The sequence below is a fragment of the Homo sapiens genome, chromosome 8, assembly GCF_000001405.40.
Source record: "Homo sapiens chromosome 8, GRCh38.p14 Primary Assembly".
Lineage (NCBI taxonomy): Eukaryota > Metazoa > Chordata > Mammalia > Primates > Hominidae > Homo > Homo sapiens.
This window is the reverse complement of record NC_000008.11, coordinates 80,496,617-80,515,660: the sequence shown is the minus strand read 5'-3', so window position 1 is coordinate 80,515,660 and position 19,044 is coordinate 80,496,617. Positions and strand designations below refer to the sequence as shown.

General features: G+C 37.8%; 1 protein-coding gene across 3 annotated transcripts in view, besides 1 other annotated feature; it reads right to left on the bottom strand.

Moving 5' to 3' along the window:
• Positions 1-19,044, bottom strand: part of ZBTB10 (zinc finger and BTB domain containing 10) — a 40,673-nt gene that overhangs the window by 10,605 nt on the left and 11,024 nt on the right. For all 3 annotated transcript variants that reach the window (NM_001277145.2, NM_001105539.3, NM_023929.5), the window contains exons 2-3: positions 15,279-16,167; positions 1,653-1,751 (exon numbers count right to left, since the gene is read on the bottom strand). In NM_001277145.2, coding sequence (NP_001264074.1) covers positions 1,653-1,751; positions 15,279-16,167 — 988 coding nt within the window. The remainder of the gene's footprint in view (positions 1-1,652; positions 1,752-15,278; positions 16,168-19,044) is intronic.
• Positions 11,944-12,444: an enhancer, noted in NCBI's record as "H3K4me1 hESC enhancer chr8:81415452-81415952 (GRCh37/hg19 assembly coordinates)". NCBI's record gives its function as "activates a minimal SCP1, AML or CMV promoter by ChIP-STARR-seq in primed H9 embryonic stem cells {active_cell/tissue: H9 hESC(primed)}" and the evidence as "EXISTENCE:reporter gene assay evidence [ECO:0000049][PMID:30033119]".

Genomic DNA, 19,044 nt, shown 5'->3' with positions numbered 1-19,044 from the left:
TTTACAAATTTAAAATTTTACATATGAATTCAAATATCCCTAATTAAACCCATTCTTGGACTAGATTTCAAAACTGAGAAAGCAAGTGCAGTAACATCTTCTTGCGCGGTTAGCAACTTTCTGTACGAGCAAAAAAATCTTTAAAATTCAAGACATCTGACGTACAAACTGCTAATTTCAAAACTTGTTTTGTAAATTCTTTTAAACAGTCAGGGGAAACCACCTTAAGGCAGTTTCTTTAGAAATGTGGTTTTATTTTGGTCAGTACATACTGAATTCAGAGCCCACGACTACTCTTAGTAACAAGTACCTCACTGTCTCTGTTCTCACCAACTTTGAAAAGAATTCCAAAGCTAATAAAATTGAAACAATCAATAAACATCCATATCTATCTTCAACAAATACTAGTTTTGTCAAGTTTTTATGTACACACATACATGCTTTCTATGCACTATTTAGAAACATGCATGCTCATAACTTCAAGCCTAAATGCATCTTCTAGAACATGCTCCTAGATAACCACCGTATAAGAAATTTAAAATTAACTGAATATCACTTAACACACACTACATATTCTAATTTCCAGTTGGCCCCAAAATGTCCTCTTTAGCCATTTTTTGTTCCCATGATCTAATCAAGATCCATGCTGCACTTTAGTTTACTTCCTTGGTCTCCTTCAATCTAGTGGTTTCCCCACTTGTCTGTCGTAACATTAACATTTTAGAGTTTGGACTACCTGTCGTATACATCAATGTCTGGGTTTTCCTTTGTCATTAGATACAAGCTAAACAGTTTCTCAAGAATACTGCATAGGAAATGTTGTATGCCAGGTGGCACATCAAATCAGCCAGCCCTTAATTTTGGTTTGTGCTCTTTTTAATGGCACTAAGTTTAATCACTTAGTTATGACAATCTTTCTCAGATCTCCTTATTGTAAATTTACCTTTTCCCCTTTGCAAGTGGAAATCATCTATGGGAATCCATGGGAATAATTTGAGACCATGTGAATATGATATTCCCCAACAATCTTTCACCCAATCATAGGGGGACAAGCCCATTAACGGTGGCTTAACATCCACTGATGACTTTGAATTATTTCCTGTGGGGATTGCAAAATAGCTATTTTTCCAATTCTATCATTCTTCTATCAGCTTGGCATTCTTCTGTAAAGAATGACTTTCTTTTACTCTATTTTATTCATAACATACTCATGGATTCTTTGTTTTTATATTCATCAAGCTTCCTCCAATGCACTGCTGACATCACACAGAACTAATCAACATTTTCTATAGCCATTAACTACACCATCATTTTGCATAAAAACTAATTAAAATAAATTCAACCATTATCGTAATTACCATTTCCGTTCCGTATCTATATACCAGCAGGAAGCCATAAGCCATATTAACTCAATTACTTTTTATATGTAGGAGTTTTTAAAACTAAACAAATGACTCCGTCAAACATACAAAACCGGAAACATCAATTTGCATTTACCAATTTTCCAGTCATCATAAACATAGCTACCATAGATTGAAAGTAGTTATATACAATAGAACCCCCTTATGGAAGAGAAATTACACTAGGCTGCAGGTAAGATGTAACACTTCCCAATCTTAAATGTACTGTTGCTAAAATCTTACTGTACCTACCAGCATCACCTCCATCTTGACTAGTGCCAGCTTCAGCCAATAAATTTGCATTCACATTCCTATCACCATCTGGCCCCGAGAGTAGAGCACCATCTAAATCTGAAAAGGAAACATAGAAAAATTTATCTACAAACCACACCATAGCCACCACCCAAAACACCACTCTTTCTTGGAACTGTTTCTTAAATAAAAAGTACCATCTGTAAGTAATGAATTATCTACTGTGTTCAATACTACAAGGCTCACAGAAGCCTAAGACATGTACAGTGAGTACAGTGTACTGGTTAGGAATGGGCTGTAGAACCAGGGTAAATTAGGTGCCACTCCTGTTTCTGTTACAGGCTATGTGACCATATGCCTTAGTTTCTCCCTAATTTACATCCACCTATATCGTAGATGTGATCTAGGAATCTAATTGGATAATATAACAAGCCAAGTGTTACAATTATGGTACTTGACGCTCAAACAATACTGCTAGTACTAACTAGTAAGTACTAGATGTATAAAACATTGCTGGTGCATCCACATTGGTTCAGAAGTGGAGACCAATTAAAGCTAGACTGCTTAGCTGGAAGTGGGGGCTCAGGCCTATAATCCCAGCACTTTAGGAAGCTGAGGTGGGCAGATCACTTGAGGCCAGGAGTTTGAGATCAGCCTGGTCAACATGGAAAAACCACACCTCTACAAAAAATACAAAAATTAACCAAGTGTGGTGGCACACACCTGTAGTCCCAGCTACTTGGGAGGCTGAGGTGGGAGGATCCGCCTGAGTCCGGGAGGCAGAGGCTACAGTGAGCTGAAATCACACCACTGCACTCCAGCCTGGGGTGACAGAGTGAGACCCCAACTCAAAAGAAAAAACAGTTTTTGTCAGAATACAGAATATAGATGGCAAATAAAACCATGGGAGTGAAACAGATGAGACAGTGAGAAAAGATTAAGTATACTGAATAATCCTAACATTTAATGAGTTACAAAAAATATATAAAAGACTTTTAGGGGAAAAGTAGTCCACTTTGCCAATGCTCCCTAGAATTCAAGATGAGGGCTAAAAATGGACATCACTTTCATTCAATAAGCACCTAGGATGTCACTGGTAATCTTACTGAGCGATACTGGTGAGTAGGTGGGGCAAGCAGAAAAAATAAGAGTGGTCTGTGTTCTGAAGAGATGATGATCAATTAAGAAAAAATACTGACAATCTTTTTGAGAAATTTAGCTATAAAAGGGAAGTGTGAGAAATAGGGTAACGACTGATTTTTTTCTTTTTTAAGAAACTGAAAGTTACTTTTTTTTGGAGACAGGGTCTCCCTCTGTCACCCAGGCTGGAGTGCAGTGGCACGATCTCAGCTCACTGCAACCTCTGCCTCCCAGGTTCAACCGATTCTCCTACTTCAGCCTCTCAGATAGCTGGGACTACAGGTGCACACCACCACACCTGGATAATTTTTGTAATTTTTTGTAGAGACAGGGTCTCACTATGTTGCCCAGGCTGGCCTTGAATGCCTGGGCTCAAGCAATCCTCCTGCCTTGGCCTCCCAAAGTGCTGGGATTACAGGCATGAACCACAGCACCCGGCCGAAAATTACATATGTGAATACTGACAGGAAGGAGTCACTAAAGGGAGAATACTAAAGATATTGCTGCGAAGAGAAGGAATTATCCATTGTGTAAGATTCCTAAGGAGTCTTGTGATACAGGAGCACGGGTCTGGGTACTTAAGAGAGACAGCAGAGACAAGCAGTGTACATAGAGAGAGCTAAAGCCAGAACTTAAGGATATTCCACCAGGCTGTTGGCTTCTCTTTTCTCTGTAAGGTGAAATTAGTAGAATGTAGCATTATTGCTTAGAGTAAATGGGTTGGAAGTCAGAACAATGAACAAGTATTTAATGTGGTACCACATTAAATGTGGTAAATGTTATTTAATGTGGTACCACATTAAATAACAGTAAATAGATACAGAACTCCTTTGCCCAATCCTTAAGAACGGGGATACTGTTCAGGTATCTAGGATAATAGCTAGATAGGATACTATTTAGGTATTTTCCTAGTATTTATCATAATGCATGATAAATAAAAGGCTTTTAAAAATATCGTTTGCCATGCATGGTGGGGCTTCAAGCCTGTAATCCCAGCACTTTGGGATATATATGTATTAGAGTTAAATGCTGGCTTGAATAGTCTTGCCCTTTGCAACTTATATCACTAAACAAAGTTTAGTTTTAATTCATGGTATCTGAAGAATAATTTGGTTTTTTGGTCTACAATTAAACTAAAACCTATCATGAACTGAAAATATTTAATTGAAATTTAGTGGTTTTGTTTTCTTAAAGTTAAATGTATTTCAATAATCAAAAAATAAAATTGGCCAGGCATGTGCTAGTCCTAGCCACTGAGGAGGCTGAGGCGGGAGAATGGCTTGAGCCCAGGAGTCCAAGGCTCCAGTGAGCTACAATCACACCACTATACTACAGCCTGGGCAAGAGTGAGACCCTGTCTCAACAAAATTGAAATAAAAATAAAAAATACAATTATTCAATTTCACTAGATTTCTCAATCTTTTTTTAAAAAAGTCATTATTCTGAAATGCAGTCTGTTCAAGGACATGTCTTACAATTCTGCCAAGTGGGTTTCCAAATACAGGTTTCTATTTATGCAAAATTCTACAGTGAATTGTTGAAGGCTTTCCTCAACTCTTAAGAGGCATTTCCTATCTCCTACCCTAGCCCTAAAGTATTATATTAGAATTTGTGATTTCTAATTCTACATGGACAACAAGTATAGACCTCCTCAGCCAAAACCTTACAAAATAAATATCAAGTATATTTGTCTTGTGTCTCTTTTGAAAGGCACCAACTACGTGGTTCTTGATATCAAAAACAAATCTCAAAAACAGGTGAGTTCTTCCAAGTTGACAATCTTTTGACAATAGTGTGCTTAACTTTCAGGAACCAATATATTACGTCACTGCTTACCTTATTCAAAACCAGCCAAACCACCTAGCAACTCATTATTAGAGATGTTGATGTGAATGGAATAGAAACCAAACAACCAACCACTTAATTGACACGAATGAATTTTGCTTCATTAGGAAGCATGATAGCAACTCTTGGTCATCATCTTTTTCTCTAAAATTACAAGATTACAAAATAAACTCTAATACACCTGCTTTTGTGATATCCAGCATCTTCCTATGGGAATCTTATGCTTCATTTAAAGGTAGCAAAAAAAGGGCTAAGATTTCTTTGCAAACAGCAGAAATCCTTTCTGAAGACTAATTCAAACATTAGTTTCCTTTCCCCTCTTCTCACTACTGCACTTGTCTAAAACACACACACACACACACACACACACACACACACACACACTGGTTTCACAAAATGACGGCTATTTTTCTGACTGGTGGCAGGTACATGAGTGGTATGTAATATTCAAATGACCAGAGCTAAATGACAAGCCATGTAGGATTTCTCCTATTTTAAAAAAATGTCTTTTCTCAGTGAACAGATAGTAGCAACCCCTATAACAAAAATGGATTGTATGCATCCGGCAGTAAAATCTTTCAACTTTTTATCAATGAGTAAACTAAGGCTGAGGGAGGTTAAATAACAAGCTAGTGGCAGAGGTCTGCACTATTTAGTAACTGTATTACATTGCTTCCTGACAGTTTATCACAAGCACCAAGCCTCAGGGCCTGGCACATAAGCAGGCAATCAAAAAACTACAATTTGCAATGCTGGGAACACGAGTGCAGAAGTATATTCACACGTACTTTGCTACTGATACTTGATATGCTCTTTTTGTGAAATGAACAAAAATAAACATTAATTCCACTCTGTGTTAAACCAGCATCCACTTTATTACCTTCCCTTTATTTAACAATATATTCTCCAAAATCTTAAGGATACCAAGGTACTAGCTATCATTGCTCTTTACAGTAATACTTTTTGTCTACTTTAAAGCAATCTCCTCCTTAGAATTCACATTTATATACTTCTCTAATTAACCATGTATTGCATTTTAAATAATATCTTCATGAGAGGTACTATTCATGGAAGGACGGGTACAATGGCTCATGTCTGTAATCCCAGCACTTTGGGAGGAAGCCAAGGTAGGAGGATCGCTTGAGCCCACAAGTTCAAGGCTGCAGCAAGCTATGATCATGCCACTGCACTCCCTCCATGGGTGAAAGACCAAGACCCTATCTCCTAAAAAAAAATGAAAATATTACCATAGATTTTTGAAAATCTGGTAACAGTGGAAAAAGAATGAGATGGGATTAAAAGACTGGTCTAAATCTCAGTCTCTACCTCCCAAAAATGTGCCCATGACCAATGATATTAGTAAATGAAAATATTGAGCAAAGTACAAGACAAAACAAGGTATCATTAAAGACAAGACTAATCTTGGTGCCTTGGTCATGACAGGAATTTTAGATCACGGTGGGCTAGCAACCCTTCCAAATCACGTGCGAAGTGAGTAGTACAGCACCTGCCTGTGAATGCTAAATTAAACAAGACTGAGTTGGAAAGGTTTCCCTGACTATTTGCTTGTGGTTCTCAATATTCCAACCATTAGGCAAGTGCAGACTAATCCAGATTTTCTCAGAACACAAATATTCTTGAAAAGATATGAGACAAGACCCTGGGAAAGAAGTTTTAAGAAACAGCTAAACAAGTTGTATAAAAACTCAGACTCAGATCTACTCAACTTTCATTTTCATATAAACACATATTAGCACAAGTTTCTCTTACGGTGACAGTTTCAGAACTAAAAGTAAATGTGTTTGGTGCTTTTCCCCCCCATAAACAGGTATAGATTTTTTCTCTTCAGTTTTCTCCTTTCAGTGGAGAGTAAATTCAGTTGCAAATGTATTATATAAACCACCCTTTACAGTTCCTGTAGCAGCCTTTTAAACTCAAAATAGCTTCCCTTTCACTCGCAAACTCATTGACAAGTGACTGCCCCATCTTACTTAGACTAGGCTCAACTGTTTCTTCCTTGCATTATTCCAAAGTGCTGTTATTTCTCCCTAACAGGTCCCCCCAGTACATGCCCCACCTCCAATCCATGAAAAATGCTCTTAAACTTTTTAGTCTTAAATGCAATATAAACAGATCAAATCTCTAGTTAAAAAAACCACTCACTACTTCAGAGTCTGTAAAACAAGTCAGAATTTATTACAATACAAAAATAACTAGTTATACCTATAGACAAGGTAGTAGGAAATTGGAGATGTCCCCACAACACTACCCCTTTTCTATTCTTCGACCCACTTATTCCAATTTCTTCCCATCTTGCAAGTCAACGAATGCTCTTCTTCCCCTCCTAGCAAACTCCTACATAACAAAAGATCCACTCACACTGCCTTCTCTATGAAGCTTTCCCAACTCCTCTGGGCAGTTAGGACTGTTCCACTGCACCCCGTCATGCATCTTAAATAATCTAATTTTAACATTTATCACATGGCACTGAGTATGTTTCTACCCCACAGTCACCCTATTGTGAATAAGTTCCGCATAAGGGACTCCTCAATCTTGACATTATGTGGCCTATTGCTCAGTGTCTTTAGATTTTAAATAAAAACGTTTCCAAATTTCCTATTATATGTGGAAAGCTATTTTGGAGTTCCCAGAAAGTTATAACATTTCTGAAGAGTAAAGCTTTGAATGAAAATTTACACTATCTGGTCACCCTACTATATATTAAGTCTGTATCAGAAACCAAAAATTCAGTTCTATAAAAAACTTTCAGGGACTGGCATTTATATGGTTTAGACAACTTAACACCTTCAGCAGGAAGAAGTCACAAAAATGCCTTAACTGACCCACATAAGACTTCTTCAGCTCTTCAGCTTTATTCTGACCACTTAAAGAGTTTCTAACTTACAGGTAATAATCAACAGTGTAGCCACTTCTTGGGTCAAGTATGATACAGGGAAGGAAAGCAACAGTAAGCACAGCAAAAGGGGAAACAGTGGCAGACTACTATTTCACCTACCATATGGTTGCCTACTACCATCTTTTAAAATTAAATACTGAAGATTCTTATGCATTAGTATATCATATAACTCATTAACTATTATTTATTTTTAAAAATAAGCATCAGGGCTGGGTACAGTGGCTCATGCCTGCAACCCCAGCACTCTGGGAGGCTGAGGCAGGAGGAGAGTTGAGCCCAAGAGCTGGACACCAGTGTGGGCAACATAACGAGACCCTGTCTCTATTTTAAAAATCTAAAAAAAATTAGCCAAGAGTGGTGGCCCATGCCTGTAGGTGTGCCCAGGTACTCAGGAGGCTGAGGCAGGAGGATCACTTGAGCCCAGGGATTTGAGGCTGCAGTGAGCTATGATCACTGCACTCCAGCCTGGGTGACAGAGGGAGATTTTTTTTTTGAGATGGAGTCTGGCTCTGTGCCCCAGGCTGGAGTGCAGTGGCGCGATCTCAGCTCACTGCAACCTCTGCTCCCGGGTTCAAGCCATTCTCCTGCCTCAGCCCCCCAAGTAGCTGGGACTACATGTGCCCGCCACCATGCCTGGCTAATTTTTTTTTGTATTTTTAGTAGAGACGGGGTTTCACTGTGTTAGCCAGGATGGTCTCGATCTCCTGACCTTGTGAACCACCCGCCTCGGCCTCCCAAAGTGCTGGGATTACAGGCGTGAGCCACCGTGCCCAGCTGTTTTTTTTTTCTTTTCTTCTTTTGAGACTGAGTCTCGCTCTGTCACCCAGCTGGAGTGCAGTGGCATGGTCTTGGCTCACTGCAACCTCTGCCTCCCGGGTTAAAGTGATTCTCCTGCCTCAGCCTCCCGAGTAGCTGGGATTACAGGCGCGCGCCACCACACCCAGCTAATTTTTGTATTTTTAGTAGAGATGGGGTTTCACCATGTTGGCCAGGATGATCTCGATCTCTTGCCCTCGTGATCCACCTGCCTCGGCCTCCCAAAGTGCTGGGATTACAGGCGCGAGCCACTGCACCCGGCCTCAGAGGGAGATCTTGTCTCTTAATAAAATAAAATAAATAAATACATAAGTAAGCATCTGGCCTTCAGCACCCTCCCCCTAATTATTAGAACCCCCCCAAGTTGCTAATGAAAAATGAAATTAAATTCTGACTTGCATCTCATCCTTCATAGCATACTCCATAGGATGCCTAAGAGGTTTAGCAAAACACTCGGAATCTCCTAAGAGAATAAAAACTAATTCAGATCCATAAATCTGTTACGTGAGACCCTTGGGGTAAGATTTAGAATGCAGAATTTTTCAGATTTTATAGCTATGACTGTAACACCCCATGTGGGGTCTGGAGTAGCACCCTATAATGAAAACATGAATATTTATACAAAACACTAATATTTATACAATAAAACATGAATATTTGCAGGGCGTGCTGGCTCACGCCTGCAATCCCAGCGCTTTGGGAGGCTGAGGCGGGGGTTGGGGGGGGGGTGGATCACCTGAGGTCAGGAGTTCAAGACCAGCCTCACCAACATGAAAAAAACCCGTCTCGTCTCTACTAAAAATACAAAATTGGCCAGACATGGTGGCACATGCCTGTAATCCCAGCTACTCGGGAGGCTGAGGCAGGAGAATTGCTTGAGCCCTGGAGGTGAGGTTGCAGTGAGCCAAGATCACGCCACTGCACTCCAGCCTGGGCAACAAGAGTGAAACTCTATCTCAAAAAAAGAAAAAAGAAAAAAAGAAAAAAAACCCATGAATATTCACATTTAAGGAAGTAAAAAAATATAAATAGCTGATTTGTTGCCAAAATGATTAAGAAAAAGCTTTGGGTCCTCAGAACTATTAAGATTTCAGAATTTTAAGGTAGAAATTTTACTTCTTTCCCATTAGGGAGGCTGTCTGGGATACACTCAAGGCTAGCATTGTGGCAAAACTGAATCTAAAGCCCAAGTCTCCTTCACCAAAGCCATGTCCCATGGTTTTGAAACATATTTTAGACTGGACACAGTGGCTCAAGGCTGTAATCCCAGCACTTTGGGAAGTGAGGCTGGAGGATCCCTTGAGCCTGAGACCAGTCTCCTTGGCAACAAAGCGAGACTTCACCTTTACTTAAAAAAAAAAAAAAAAAAAAAAAATTAGCCAGGCATAGTGGTGCACGCCCACCTGTAGTTCCAAGTACTCTGTGTGGCTGATTGCGGGAGAGTGAGGCGGGAGAATCACATGAGCCCAGGAGGTTGAGGTTTCTGTAAGCCATGATCATGACACTGCACTCCGCCTGGGTGACAGAGCAAGACTCTGCCTCAAATATATGCCTTATTACGATTTCTTATATCTATCTAGTTTGGATATTCTTTTCTCAAAATAGTTTTCAAAGTACCAAATTGTATGCTTTTTTACCAAAAAAGCAATTACACAAATAAGTGCAAAGCTTAAACCTGATTTCAACTCTACTTGTAAGGATTAACGCAAACCTAAAAATGCTGCAAAACTATTTTTCCATCATAAGTCTAGGTGAAAGAAACTTCCAGGTTATTTAAAAGAATTCTAAACTTTATCTTTTAATCAACTAAAATTACCTTACATTTGAGTATTCGTATGGCATAAGGAAAAAAAATCATTTACATAGAACTACATCAGCTTGTGGCAAAGATTAAAAATATAATAATCGACTGCTGCATTTACTAGAAAACATCTAAGGAAACTGTCCATTATATTACTTGGTGTCAACTACATAAAAAAATCCCACTGGAGAAATTCCTTTCAGAAGTCAGTACCAGGAAGTTTGTCATCCTGGTAGAACTGGTATGTTTTTCTCTTTTGAGTAAGGCTGTTTTGTATCTTAGAGCCAATTAAAAGCTTAATTAGGGCAACCACATTTATATCCATGATGAGCACTCTTAACTTCTTTGCCAATTTTACTTTATTTTGCTAATTTGTTTCTTTTGTCATTTCAAAATAAGGTATGTATGCATGCAACGTACATACAGAGTAAAATTATTTATAATAGGTAGAAGTTGCTAGTATGACAGGTATAAATTTAAAAATCTAGGCTCAGAAAACCATGTTCCATGAGCCCGCAAAATAAAGTGATTTTAAAAAATCAGATTAACACCTGACTTGTTCTAGTTAAACGGGACACAACATGTGTGAATACACGTTGTAAAACAAATTTAGGCACTAGTTATCTGTACTTCTGTAATTCAATTTCTAATCTCAGGTTATCTACTTTATTTGGCTAAAATTTAATGTTTCCTGGTTGCAAATCAGCAAGACAAGGATTTTGAAATTTTTACATTATCAGAGCAATTCACTCACGACATCATTTTTACCCTTATTTGATTACCCAGATTTTAGTTTTTGCTGACAGTTTTAATTATTCCATAATCCCAGTATGTGCATATTCTCTTAGGACAGAAATTTCTAACTTTTCTGAGTTCTACCTTCAAAGTATTCTTGTGTAAAAGAAATGATCTGAAGTGAAGTCAAACAACAAATATGACTCTGTAGTGAGTCAAACAACAAATATGTTAATTTCAAGATAAAAAAATACCATCTGAATAAAAACCCTGCAGCTATGGGTACACCTTCTTATCTCAATCTTTAAAAGGCACCCAAACAAAAGCTTCAACATTATACAAGACAGCGTTATTAGAACTGTATCTTACAAACTCTGTGCTGAAGACCTGAGGGAAGACACAGTAACTAGAAGAGACCCCCGCCAAATCCAAACATGCCAAGCATTGTTTGCAGATTGAACAATTCACTAAGACTTTTCAGATGTTTGCTATAGAACTTCAAATTTATTTAAAAGCATTTATTTCATGGACAACTGTTTTCTCAATAAATGGAAATTAAAGCATAACTAATGATGAAGGGGATCATAAAAATATTTTAAAGTTAAAAGGAACTAATTTTTTAAAAAAGATAGGAATCTACTACTTTAGTAGTTAATTTCAAGGTTTTCATGCAGCATAGTCCTAAATATGCAACCTGCCTCTTTCTACTCTTACTAGCTGAATGACCTTGGGAAGGCCTTAACGTTGGTAAACACAGGCTATGTTCTATATTGGTCAGAACTTGCCTGGAAAGAGTAAATTGTGTGTATTCATCACAAGATGGGCAGAAGAGCACATAGCCTACAAAAACAGGACTCTTTAAACGTCTAACATTTGAAGGGTTATCAGGTAGATTAGAGGAATTAGGTTAGGTTTAAATTATACTATTCCAGGCAGAGCGCAGTGGCTCACGCCTGTATTCCCAGCACTTTGGGAGGCCAAAGTGGGCAGATCACTTGTGGTCAGGAGTTTTTGAGACCAGCCTGGCCAACATATAGTGAAACCCTCTACTAAAAATACAAAATACAAAAATTAGCTGGGTGCAGTGGTGCACGCCAGTAGTCCCAGCTACCTGGGAAGCTGAGGCAGGAGAACGCTTGAATCTGGGAGGCGGAGGTTTCAGTGAGCCAAAATCATGCAACTGCACTCCAGCCTTGGTGACACAGGGAGACTCTGTCTCTCAAAAAACATAAATAAATAAATAAATAAATAAATAATAAATTACACTATTCCCAACGACAGAATTAGGAAGTTATAGAGAAGCAAATTTTGGCTACATTTAAAATGACTACCTAATAATCAGTCATCCTACACTGGAAGCTGCTTAGGGAAGTCTTTACAAGCAGTCAAAAAATCAAGCTGAGGCTAAGACCATCTATCTGGCATTTGGTAGAAAGTACACAGCACCGGAAAACTGATATGAATAACCTCAATAGTCTTTTCCAAGTTTAAGGAGGATTGCCATGACCAAGAGTTATTTCATATTTGTCACTTCATTTTCATAATAATTCTATAAAATCAACACAATATTTTAATGAGGAAACTGAGGACAAGAGCTTAATTTGATCATGGACTACAGGGGGTAGGTGGCACAGCTTATTTTTAAATTTTAAATTCATTATGTTTGACTCAATTTAGGCTCTTTCCAATATAGTAATATTTGCTGATCTCAGCCTTAACTCATAAAATTACCTGTAGAACTTTAAAAAAAATTCCACATCCAAACCACATTCCATACCAATTAAATTGGAATCCACAGAAGAGAGACCCTTTACGGCATGTAATGCTCCCAAGTGATACCAACGTGCATACCCATGATTAAGAACCACTGCTATATACGAAGGGTTGGCAAGTTTTACTGGAACACACCTACCTTCATTTGTTTACATAGTACAAATGACTGCTTTCATGTCACAAGTGGCAGAGTTGATGAGCTGACTTTTATGACCAACAAAGGTGAAAGTCTTTTTTTTTTTTACTGTTTTAGCCCTTTACAGTAAAAATTTACCAGTCCTTGGTTCTATATCATATTATATACCCTAACCATAATGCTCTTTTGAGACCCATTTATTTTTTCCACCAAATAACACTGGTGGCATGGATAGAACCAAATTTGTGAGTTAAGCAAGGTTCGGATACCAAACTGGTATCAATGAAATGAAAATAATCCTTTTTAAGAGACGGCTGGGCACGGTGGCTCACCCATGTAATCCCAACATGTTGGGAGGCCAAGGTGGGTGGACTTGAGGTCACGAGTTCGAGACCAGCTTGGCCAACATGGTGAGACCCCCGTCTCTAGTAATAATAAAAAAATTAGCCAGGTGTGGTGGCATGTGCCTGTAATCCCAGCTACTTGGGAGGCTGAGGTAGGAGAATCGCTTGAACCCAGGAGGCAGTGGTTGCAGTGAACCAAGACTGTGCCACTGCACTCCAGCCTGGGCAACAGAGTGAGACTCCGTTTAAAAACAAACAAACAAAACAGATGTAAGAGATAAAGCATATTAGACCACCAATTAATTTATAATAGAACTAGTCCATTAACACAACCATGGCTAGGAGATACTTGATAAAAATTGCTAGTAATGTCATCTTTGAAAGTATGCATTGTGGTTCATTATTAATGCTTTTCTTTAAATCACTCCAATTATATGTGGCATTAATTTTTTAAATGAGGTTACTGCTGACTAGTTACCATCAAACAACCGCTACACCCAAAAGATGTTATTTATTCCTTTAAGGAAAAGTGTGTGTATTTAAAAACACTACAGGGTTCCCACCATACTGTTAAACAGAAATAATCCATACAGCACAAAGACAACGTAGCTCTAATGAGAAATCTGTCAAGGTCTTCTACATTAAGACAAAACAAAGTGCTAGCTAAGGAGTCTATCTACCCTTAATACTTCATTTAACTAAATTGTCTCAGGGATTTTATTGTTAAAACTTGATATAAAGTACAAGGAAAAAGATATATAGTATTCGTTATATATACACACTTGATTTTTCACACAGTAAAAATTTCACACACACACACACACATACATACACAAAATTCCTATCACTGAAAGCTAACCCAAATCTAAAAAGCCAGAGGAACATTTCACAGGATTACTATGGCATTTTGCCCTCTGGCAACTAAAAACAGTGATTCCTTTAACAGAAAATACTCCATCCTCAGATGACCACCATCGTATAAATCAGACACTGAACAGTTACAGTGCTTTGAAGTGAAAAAAACAAGCATTAAATAATGTATGACAGTGGTGGACAAGCCTCAGGCATGCATAGGAAACCTCAAACCCACTGAGCTTCTTCAAATAAAGATATGCACAGCCAGATTAAACTAAAGACTTAACAATGGTCTTCTCGTTTTAAAAAAATTCCCACTGTAAATGTGATTCTCTAAGATTCCTACGGAACTTTTGGAGAGAAATATATTGAAGAGAAAGGCCTCAGAGGCTTTGCAATGAATGCAAAGGTGAATGAAAATCAGGTGACAGTGGACAAACAAAATAGCTTCTATGGTGAGAACAGAACAGTACCTGCTCTAGGCCAGGTGTGGTGGCTCATGTCTGTAATCCCAGCACTTTGGGAGGCCGAGGCAAGCAGATCACCTGAGGTCAGGGGTTCCATACCAGCCTGGACAACATGGTGAAACCCCATCTCTACTAAAAATACAAAATTAGCTGGGTGTGGTGGCACGCACCTGCAGTCCCAGCTACTCAGGAGGCTGAGGCAGGAGAATCGTTTGAACCTGGGAGGCGGAGTTTGCAGTGAGACTCCAGCCTGGGCTATAGAGTGAGACTCCGACTCAAAAAAATAAATAAACAAAAAATAACAGAAGAACAGTAGCCCTAAACAAACTAGAATACCATAATCTCATAATTGGCAAAATTCTTTGAAACACTTAAATATGTTTTAACAGCCAAAAATAAAATAAAAAAGGTTAAGGGGGTCTCTGAAACGACAGTGATTATATATTACAACTAAAGATTCTATCTTTCCCAACACTGGGTATAAAATAGTGAGCACAGAGGCTAAAAATGAGGAAAGTCAAAGACCCGTACATGCAGCAGAGTCCACGTTCCTTGACAATATATGCAATACCTGGCTATTAATACATCTTTTGATAAACCCACATATATATGTGTTGAAAAAAGACAAAGAAAATATACCAAATATGTTATGCATTTGAATGACGTTCCCCCTTCTTTTGTAAACAACTTTAGTATTACTTTATAACTAAAATAATTCAATTAAAAATATACTTCAAGATTATATCCAACTAGAATTAGGATGAACAAGGAAGTATCCTTGTATAGATAATATTTACCTGGTTCTTCCTTGATGAGTAGTGTATTTTCTTCTGGATAGGCAACAGGTGGCTGCATTACTGAGCAATCTTCTAAATTCGTTTCATTATTAGGTGGAATATTATAAATAAATCTTTTTGTAGTTTGGTTTTTCCTCCTTGTTTTGCCAGTCTCTTGAATTCCCTGGGAGCCCATATTATTCCAAATAAACACTTTTGTTTGACCTTCAGATTCATTTTCAGCCATTTCAGGAGATCCATCCTGGACCCAACTACTGTCATTCATTTGGTAGTTTTCTATTTGGCCCTCGTCGACATTACAACCATCATTTTCAATCTTTACATTACTTGCCAAATTGGTAAGATTCCGTGTTGCCCAAAAACTGGCAATTTTTTGATCCCGTGATGAAGACAGACCATCTCTATTAACTGGTTTTCTATTATTATAGTCCACAACTACAGACTCTGGAGCTTCTGATTTAATGCTTATATTTAAGGCATCTTTAATGAAATTTCGGCAAGTTTGAACAACTTCACTCATTTGAAGATAGCTGGCCACGGTCATAACTTCAATGGCATTTTGGCTTGTGAGCACCAGGTTACCAGAATACAAGAAGTCCAAGATGACTGAAAAACCTTGAACTGCAGCAATATCTAAGTGGGTAGTATTGTTTTGGTTAGGGCTTTCTTTGTTTGAAAAGCAATATAAAGTCTTAAAGAAACGGCTGCCTGCAACCAGGATGTTCTTATGAGCTTTGAAGATTTTTCCGCTTACCACAATGCTGACATCACAAAGAATACCTTTCTTTCTCTGTTCATTTAGTTGTCGCAGAAGTTGATAGCAATAAGAGTTCTCATTTGGCCTACTATTAAAGTCACAGTACCCCTCCTCTGATGGTATTTCTGACTCCTGTAATTGGATAAAAAACATTAATATTAAACTTTATTGACTTTTTTAAAAACTCCCAAACCAAGGAAAACAATTATCAAGTTTTTAAAAAGCGATAATCAAATATATTAATTTGTGAGTAATCAAGAAATGGAGTGAACAGTGGTGGTGCAACCCACTGCTATTATTAAAAAAGAAAAAAATCAAACACATCTGACTGAAGATCAGCAGGGTTTCATTTTAAAAATAACATTCATCATGTTATATGTTTCAAATATAAGCTAAGAACATGAATTGAGAATTTCTTAAAATTAAAATTAAAAAGAGCAATTATTTTCTTAAGAAAAGAAACTTTCTCTTATAGGAATTAAATGTTTGCTTTATCTCTATAGAAAAGCAACAGTCTCCCCCGATTGAACTTAAAATATCCAAGTTATATTTTATGCTAGGCATATCACCCTATCTACCATTAATAAAAAGGTAAATTTTAAGTCTTGGCAAACATTAAAATCAAACAGTTTAGGTCAATGAAGTTAATTAAATCTAACTAGAGATAAAGGTAAGACCCTAAGGGGAAAATTTGCTTCAACTATAGGAATATCTAGTTATATAATTTCCTATCAACTTTCAAAACGCTTTATCTCTTTAGGGTCATAAGTACTATAAACTGTAAGGTAAATTAAAATTCCTGAATTCAAAATTCTAAATGTTTATAAATTTTGCTTCTTATCATACAGGTATTCATTATAGTTCTACTTGGCGTCACAATTAAAATTATGTGATATAATCGTAAGAATAAAAGTATGATCCAGAATTCAGAATGCTGTCTGTATCAGCCATTAACTGCGTGTCCTTGGAAAGTCACTATCCCTGAGCCTTTTCCTTAAACGATAAGTCAGTATTACAAATGTTAGTTAAAACTTTATGACTTTCCTCATACAGTGACTAGGTGGGTAAGCTCCCTCAAGGCAGAGCTGAATATCCCTCCAGCACTTTGATTAGTGCCTGCCACACTTTGCTAAACAAATGAAGTAATCATCTCTTTCCCAAGAGAAAAATTGCTTAGACCATTTCTAGTAGAAAAGATAACTGAAAATACTGACCTTATTCAAGTGTCAATTCTTTGGCACAAAATATTAAGTTAAACATAGACCATTTCTATAAAATAATAAAATATATACACATATGTATGGATCTATGATTTTACGAGCATGGAGAAAAACATGGAGAAATAAACACTAGAGTGTAAACAGGCTCAAAGTACTGACATGCTTAGAAGAGAGTTAGTGGTGTAGAGATGACGAGACTGCAAAAGTAGTCTCACAAACAATATCCTAAATGGTGGATCCCTAAACAATCACGAAACATGACTTAATGCAATCATGTGCATGGCTAAATCATAAAAATTTTAGCTTTACTTGGGTGCATGTCACAGGAGGCCACAGACGCTGTCATCTCAATTCTCTGAAACTAACCCAGTCCATCTAAAAATTATAGTGCTGCTCCCAGGTATGAGAAGTCAACTGAAAGAACCCAAATAATATTCCAGGACATGGCCAGGCATGGTGGCTCACGCCTGTAATCCCAGCACTGAAAGGCTGAGGTGGGTAGATCATTTGAGGTCAGGAGTTCAAGACCAGCCTGGCCAATGTGGTGAAACCCCGTCTCTACTAAAAATACAAACATTAGCTGGGCAGTAGTGGGGCACGCCTGTAATGTCAGCTACTTGGGAGGCTGAGGCAGAGGTTGTGGTGAGCCAAGATCATGCCACTGCACTCCAGTCTGGGCAACAGACTGAGACCTGTCTCAAAAAAAAAAAAAAAAAAAAAAAGATTCCAGGACACACTTCAACTGTTTCACTGTGAAAATGGAATAGTATGAAAAACTCTACGAATCTGGAGTATATGATCACTACAGAATGAAGCACACAAAGTAGAGAAATTTCCTCATTTTTGACTGATCCTTGGCAACCTTCCCATACCCTTCTTGTGCCAAGTGCATAAAGCCCTTATACCAAAAAACTCCCACCCATGCCCCCCCCCACCATATAATAATGTTCCATGCTCTAAATTAGCTATTTTCTCCTCCTACCAAAAGATCCAATTCTGCAAAAACTGTTAAGTCACGGATAGAGGAATCAAAACAAGTCCATTCATGAGTAATACCCTTATTTTTGTTTTTGGGGAACTGGAGAAAGGAAATAAGGTAATAATGAGACTTATTTAACCTAAGCTCTTGTATTAAACCAGTATGTTGTATTGGATTACTGCAAATATTTGGTTAAAAGAAAAAAAAAACCAGTATGTTGTGAAATTTCGTATCATGTAGCAAAGAGGAATGAACAATTTAGGACTTGTGTGAAAATGTAAAGAATGATACTAAAAACACCTGTAACAATTACTTGGACAGTGTAACTTTCCACAAAAGCATCATTCTGTTTACTTGGTTTCCCTTTTGAGACTGAGTAAATTTTATTAATTTGCCTATGCTCTCTATAGAAATTACAAATAAGGGGGAAGAATCTTGCTTTGATACAGGCCCAACACTAAAAGCTTTGTTACACAAGCTGTACCTGAACCCAAGCTCATTTGGTTCAGTGTTCAATCTACTATATATTATAGTAAAAGCATGAATATTGTATGAATATTTGGAAGAAGCAAAAGTTTTCAACACTAAATATCTGGCAGCATATATCTATGAACTGTTTGTGGAAGCAGTGAATTAGCATGTACAAGTCAAGAACTGCCTAAAGTCCGTATATCAAGCAGTTGAAAACACTTCAGGAGGTGGCTATGCCTACTGTAGCAGTCATAACACGCTATGGTCACTGCACCCTGAATTTTCTGGGCCAGTGCCAATTGTTAAGATTCTCTGCCTTTATCATACCAAATGTCCTAA